The following is a 7653-nucleotide window of genomic DNA, read 5'->3' as shown; positions in this document are numbered from 1 at the left end:
CAGGCTGGAATTCAGTGGTGCCCTCTCGGCTCACTGCAAGCTCTGCCTCCCAGGTTCAAGTGATTCCTGCCTCAGCCTCCTGAGTAGCTGGTATTACAGGCATCCACCACCACGCCCGGCTAGTTTTTGTATTTTTAGTAGAGATGGGGTTTTACCATGTTGGCCAGGATGGTCTCAAACTCCTGACCTCAAGTGATCTGCCCGCCTCGGCCTCCCAAAGCGCTGGGATTACAGGCGTGAACCACCGAGCCCAGCCAGCCCCCAGGCAGTCGTTGACCATGATAACGTGCACCTGAATCCCTGTCTCCAGCTCTGCATCTGAGAAACTCGGACATAAGACAGCTCCTTACAACACTACAGTGGGAGAGGGGGTGTCTGTGGGCAGAAAAGGGGCAGCGGTGGGCTAAGTGGAGACCAAGGCAAAACACTCCCATGCTTCCATTACCAAAGGCAAGGCATGTAAATCCTACATGTCATAGTGAAAAATTAAACAATCTCAACCCTCCAACAACAAGGAACAGACTCAATATATCATAAAACATGCTTATGATACATATTATGCCATCATTAATGGTGCTGTATGAAGTATTAAAAAAGTTGATATTTATTGAAGCTCAAGAAATGGGTACATGGGGGTTCATTTTACTATTCTCTCTACCTTTGTATATGTTCGAAATTTTCCGTAATAAAATGTATGTTAAAAATGGATGGAGAAATTGCTGTAGTATATTGAGTGGTATTTAGAAAGAACTCACACTGTATAGTTAGGTGAAAAACTGGCTAATATATAACATAGTAAGTCTATATGTATGTGGATTTTTTTAAATATTAAGAAATTGAGAGGCCAGATGTGGTGGCTCACGCCTGTAATCCCAGCACTTTGGGAGGCCAAGGTGGGCGGATCATGAGGTCAGGAGTTCGAGACCAACCTGGCCAACATGGTGAAACCCTGTCTCTACTAAAAATCAAAAAAAAAATTAGCCAGACATGGTAGTAAGGCCTGTAATCCCAGCTACTCAGGAGGCTGAGGCAGGGGAATCGCTTGAACCCAGGAGGTGGAGGTTGCAGTGAGCCGAGATCACGCCACTGCACTCCAGCCTGGGTGACAGAGTGGGACTCCGTCTCAAAAAAAGAAAAAAAAAGGAAGAAAGAATTTGAAAGCTGGGTGCTGTAGCTCACACCTGTAATCCCAGCAACCGGGGAGGCTGAATGGGAGGATGGCTTGAGCCCAGGAGTTCAAGGCTTCAGTGAGCCATGATTACACCACTGTGCCCCAGCCTGGGTAACAGAACAAGACCCCAAAGCTTAAAAAAAAAGAAAAGAAAAGAAATGGAAATGTACTTTCCCATTGACCCAGCAATTCCACTATAGAGAAATCCACACGGGAAAGGACATAGGTACAGCCTAAATGTCCGTTAATAGGAAAATGGCTTTTAAAACTGTACCATATTAAGCTGGGCTCAGTGGTGCATGCCTGTAGTCGCAGCTACTTAAGAGGCTGGCTCATGCCTGTAATCCCAGCACTTTGGGAGGCCAAGATGGGAGGATCACTTGAGGCCAGGAGTTTGAGACCAGCCTGGGCAACACAGTGAGAACCCTGTCCCTACAAAAAATAAAATAAAAAAAAATAGCCAGATGTGGTGGCCATTGCCTGTAGTCCCAGCTGCTTGGGTAGCTGAGGTGGGAGGATCACTTGAGGCCAGGAGTTGCAGGCTGCAGCGAGCTATGATAGTGCCATTGCACTCCAGCCTGGGGGACACAGCAAGACCTTGTCTATAAAAAAGAAAGAAAGAAAGAAAGAAAATAAAGAAAAACAAGGGCCGGGTGTGGTGGCTCACACCTGTAATCCCAGCACTTTGGGAGGCTGAGGCAGGTGGACTGCTTGAGGTCAGGAGTTCGAGACCAGCCTGGCCAACATGGTGAAACCCCGTCTCTATTAAAAATACAAAAATTAGCCGAGTGTGGTGGTGTGTGCCTATAGTCCCAGCTACTCAGGAGGCTGAGGCAGAAGAATCACAGGAGAATCGCCTGAATCTGGGAGGTGGAGGTTGCAGTGAGCCGAGATTGTGCCACTGTACTCCAGCCTGGGTGACAGAGCGAGACTCTGTCGCAAAAAAAAAAAAAAAAAAGAAAAGAAAAGAAAAGAAAAAAGAAAGAAAAGAAAAGTGTCTATATTTCTATGTATGTAAAGAATAGTCCAGAGTGCTATTTATTACCCTGATGAAGTGGCCATCTGATCTGAGAGGTGACAAGGGTTGAAGGGAAAGGACCAGGAGTGGGGCTGGCTGACTACTGAGACTTAAGACTTATCTGTTATATTTTAATTTTTTACAAGAAGAATATATTTGTCTATCATGCATAATTAAAAATTAATAATGCCCAAGACTACATGTATATACACTAAAGTGTTCACAAGGATCCTCTCTGGGTGATGAGAGTTTCTTAGTTCTTTTCTATAATTTATGAATTTTCTACTGCAAGCATATATGACTTCAGCAATCAAGGTTGGGGGAGGGAGGAAGGGAGAAGAAAGAAAAAAGAAACTAAAGTATCATTATTGTGCCAAGATACGCCCCCACTTTCACCTCCGGGGTGCATCCAGTTCATTCTGCCTACTCAAGGCCTCCCCATGCAAGGTTTCCTGATCCCCAGCCCCTCCCTCCAAAAAGAGGCTGCTCTTTCCTCAGTGCTCTCTGAGCCTTGGATAAGACCCCCCATAGCAGACACAAACCCCACAGGCCCACACTGGATGGATGTGTAGGTTTCCATACCCAGGGCAGGCCCTCCCTGCTGGCCTCTGACCTCCTGGCAGCATCCCCTGACCCCACTCTCCACCCTGAGCCTGGCCCCTGGGCATCAATTATAGTTGGTGAAATTTACATTATTCAGAGACCTTCAACAGAGAAGAGGAGTCCTTCACATGTGCCTTTCCCTCCCCACTTGGGGCTCCTTGTGCATCCCAGGGGTCTTCTTACCATTTCTCCCACCCCAGTACTCCCAAGGGTACATTGCCACCCCAGCTTCTTGCTCACCTGTTCTTTCTCACTAAGCACCTATTGTGTGCCAGATATTGTTCTGGGCACTGAGATACAGCAAATAAGTGAGCGGCCCACAGTGACATGCTCAGTAAATGGCAGAGACAGGACTTGACCCTAGGCCTTCAGATGCCATGTCCGACACTGAATCCAGAACCTCATACCCCAGAACCATTGAGAGTGAAATTCTTGTTTTTATTAGAGCCACAGCAGCAATCACAATTCATTTCTTGGCACTCATCTGCCAGTGTGGTTATTCTGAAGTTCAGGGCGATTACTTCACAATTGCCTTTGCTGTTCTTATTCCTTCCTTGACTGAATAAATCTTTAAGGTAATAAGAAGGGAAAATACAGTCAGATCTCCTCTGGGCCTATAAAACCAAGATGTGAGATCATTATATTGCTTCATGTGCTAAGTCAAAAAGATAGAATATTTTAATGCATCATTATAAAGCATCTTTTCCTATAACGACATAATATATGTCAACTTATAATTGCTTTCCTTCAAATACTGCTCCTATTTCCAAAGAGGGAGATCTTTAATTTGCAAGTTTGCCTTGTCTGACTTTTTTGTTTTGTTTTTGTTTTTTGTTTTTTGGAGAAAGGGTCTTGCCCTGTTGCTCAGGCTGGAGTACAGTGGCATAATCACGGTTCAATGCAGCCTCGACCTCCTAGGCTTAAGCAATCCTCCTGCCTTGGTCTCCTTAGTAGGTGAGACCACAAGCACATGCCACCACGCCTGGCTAATTTTTTATATTTTTATTTTGTAGAGACGAGGTCTTGCTACATCCCCCAGGCTGGTTTCAAACTCCTGGGCTCAAGCAATCTTCCCATCTCAGCTTCCCAAAGTGCTGGGATTACGGGTGTGAGCCACCGTGTCCAGAGTGTGACTTATTTCTTAAGTATACACCCTGCCACTTAGGTATTTATTTATTTATATATTTTTATATATTTATTTATTTATTTTGAGATAGAGTCTCGCTCTGTTGCCTAGGCTGGAGTGCAGTGGTGCCATCTTGGCTCACTGCACCCTCTGCCTCCCAGGCTCAAGCAATTCTCCTGCCTCAGCCTCCCAAGTAGCTGGGACTGCAGGCCTGCACCGCCAGGCCTGATTAATTTTTGTATTTTTAGTACAGATGGGGTTTCACCATGTTGGCCAGCTAGTCTCAAACTCCTGGCCTCAGATTATCCACCTGCCTGGGCTCCCAAAGTGCTGGGATTACGGGTGTGAGCCACTGCGCCCGACCACACCTTGCCATTTAATGTCTGCATTAAGAAAGAATTTTTCCATTTACAATATCCCTCCCCTTATGGAGTGCGGAGTCTGTCAGGGGAGACAGACAACACATCAAATAAAAATATGGGAGGTTAGATAATGACAGAGGCTCAGGGAAAAAAGTAAAGCTGGAAGAGGAGTGGGATGGGTTTCTGAGGGGGAGGGAGCTGAGTGAAGACTTGAGAGAAGTGAGGGAGGGAGGGAGCCAGCTGGCAGAGCATCCCAGGCCACCAGGCAGCAGGTGCAAAGGCCTTGAGGCAGGAATTCTTGGTGATCTTGGGGAAAAGGAAGAGGCAAATGTGGGTGGTGGGAGAGAGTCATGAAGGGCCTTTTGGGCCAACATAAGGACTTCAGCTTCTACTCCAAGAGAAATGGTGAGCCATGGAAGGGTTTGGAACAGAGGAGTGACCTGTTCTGCCAGGATGAATCCCGTGGCTGTGCTGAAAATACATGACGGTTCTGGCTGCAATCGCCTGAAGTATCTCCCAGCCTCTTGAAACTTCATTGTTATTGCTATTAAACACCCAATTAATGATGGTTTCCCTTAGGATTTCTTGACTTTACAATGGTGCAAACACATTCAGTAGAAACTGTACTTCGAACACCCATACAGCCATTCACCTTTTCACTTTCGGTGCAGTATTCAATAAACCACATGAGATGTGCGACACCTTCTTATAAAATATGCTTTGTGTTAAATGATTTTGCCCAATTGTAGGGTAACGGAAGTGCTCTGAATGTGTTTAAAGTGGGCTAGGCTAAGCTATGATGTTCAGTAGGTTAGGAGTATTAAATGCATTTTCAACTTACAGTATTTTCAACTTATGATGGGCTTATCAGGATGTAGCACCCGCCTGCCCCCTGAAGTCAAGGAGCATCTGTATTGTTTAATCTAAAAACAGCCGAAGAAGTTGACTTCTGCCCAAGTCTAAACCTCACATAACCATTTTATCTGGGCTGGATGGACAGGGAGGTGGCCCAAGCCTGGAAACTGAGAGTCAGGAAGACTCCTCACCCTCAAGGTCACCCAGCTCACTGAGTCGCTATAGCAACAGCTCTGACACCCCACGACACAGGATTCCCAGATGGCCTTGCTCCTAACAATGTGCTGGAAGGTTCCGCACATTAATTTGTCTATTTCTAATGATCAGACAAATTTGGAAAACACTGCTTTGATGCATAAGATGTTCCTGTCTTATGGCACCCTGAGTGTGTCTAATTATCTCCAAGTATACAAAATTCTCAAAAATATACTCACAGAAAGAGTTCAGATGCACTGGATCATAAGTTATACATGCATTTCAAGTAGAACCTTTAGCAGCAGGAAGGGTAGGGGCAGAGTGGGTGTCCTAAACATTCAAACTACGGTAGGCCCGAGGAAAATGGGCAGGTCACTGCTTATTCCAGCTCTTGCTAACTCCAGACTATTTTCTCAAGGGCCTGTGTGTGCACCTCTCACGTGATCTGAGCTGTGAGCCCCAGGGCTTCTTTCTAGAATCTAAGGAAAGCAAGTCTGACTGTCTTAACCTTTTTTTTTTTTTTTGACAGGGTCTCACATTGTCACCCAGGCTGGAATGCAGTGGCACAATCTCGGCTCACTGCAGCCTCGACCTCTCAGGTTCAAGCGATTCTCGTGCCTCGGCCTCCCAAGTAGCTGAAATTACAGGCATATGCCACCAGGCCCAGCTAATTTTTGTATTTTTAGTAGAGACAGGGTTTCATCATCGTCTTAACCTTTGCATGTGCTGGTTGGGGTGACTACGGACACTGAATTGGGAGCTCCATCAGCTTGCAATAAAGAGAAATGACCACCAGGGGACAGCAAACGTCCAGTAAGCAAAGTCAGTGCCTTTTGAAAAAGTACTCAGGCTTTGCGGAAGTGAACAGAAGGGCGGGGAATCTGTGACAGTGGGCGGGGGAGCACTTAAATTCTTGGTAACCATAGCTGAATTGTGTTACTGATTTTTTTTTTAACATACCCAGCTTTCAACCTGCCTAGAATCCTCCTACCTTTATCTAGGATCTTAATTTTAAGAAGGTACTTACTTGATAAACTAATCAATGCATTAAACTAGTTCTCAACTGGCACTGGTATTATTTTGCTTCCCAGGAGCATTTGGCATAATTTAGGAAAATTTTAGTTGTCACAATTAGGGGTATATAATACTACTGGCATCTAGTAGGTTGAGGCCAAGGATAATGCTAGACATCCTACAATGCACAGGACGGCCTACAGCAAAGGATGATCTGAACCTATATGTCGATGGTGACAACGCTGAGACAACTTGGGTTAAACCAACAAAGTCCTACCTCTCATGATGTGAAACTTGAGCTCCCGTGTCTCTTCTCTCTGTAGCCCAGCACTGATCTAGGATGTAGCAGGGGGAATCACCCGTAATGTCTGGGAAAATAAGATATTATCGCTGTCCTCAACGAATGACAGTCTGCAGGAATTGAAATTTCAGATGCCTACAGGGCCAGGGAGGTAATATAAAGAGATGAAGCAGGCAGGTAGGAGATGGGATGGGGAGTGGTGAGGAATGGGGCAAGTTGGAGAACGCGGCTCTAAAAGAACAACCACCACTTAGCTCAGCTTGTTGCCATGTATAAAAGTGGGCCCACAGGCCAGGCGCAGTAGCTCACACCTGTAATCCTAGCACTTTGGGAGGCCCAGGTAAGTGGATCACCTGAGGTCAGGAGTTTGAGACCGGCCTGGCCAACGTGATGAAACCTTGTCTCTACTAAAAATACAAAAATGAGCTGAGTGTGGTGGTGGGCTCCTGTAATCCCAGCTACTCAGGAGACTGAGGCAGGATAATCACTTGAACCCAGGTGGCGGAGGCTGCAGTGAGCCAAGATCGTGCCACTGCACTCCAGCCTGGGTGACAGAGTGAGACTCTATCTCAAAAAAGAAAAAAAAAAGTGGGCCCACTATTGCCAGACCTCCAGCAGTGGGGAATAAAAAGCGGTGACATTTGGGCCAGTTCTTGAAGGATCAGCAGAATTTTGTTGGGTGGAAAGGAAATAGGTGAGAATTAGTATTTCAGACAGGGATGTTCCAACCAGAAGCTGCAAATTGACCAGACCTGGCCCTCTGACTTTTCTTTGGTCCACACAACCTTTTTCTTTCTTCTCCTTTCTTTTCTTTTTCTTTTATTTTACTTTATTTTATTTACTTACTTACTGAGACAGGGTCTCACTCTTTAGCCCAGGCTGGAGTGCAATGGCACAATCACAGGCCCCTACAGCCTTGACCTCGCAGACTCAAGCAGTCCTGAGCCTTGGCCTCCAAGTAGCTGGGACTCCAGGTGCAGGAACAATGCCCAGCTAATTTTTTTTTTT

This window comes from Homo sapiens, chromosome 16 (genome assembly GCF_000001405.40).
Source record: "Homo sapiens chromosome 16, GRCh38.p14 Primary Assembly".
NCBI lineage: Eukaryota > Metazoa > Chordata > Mammalia > Primates > Hominidae > Homo > Homo sapiens.
The sequence above is the reverse complement of the archived record's forward strand: the minus strand, read 5'-3'. Positions refer to the sequence as shown.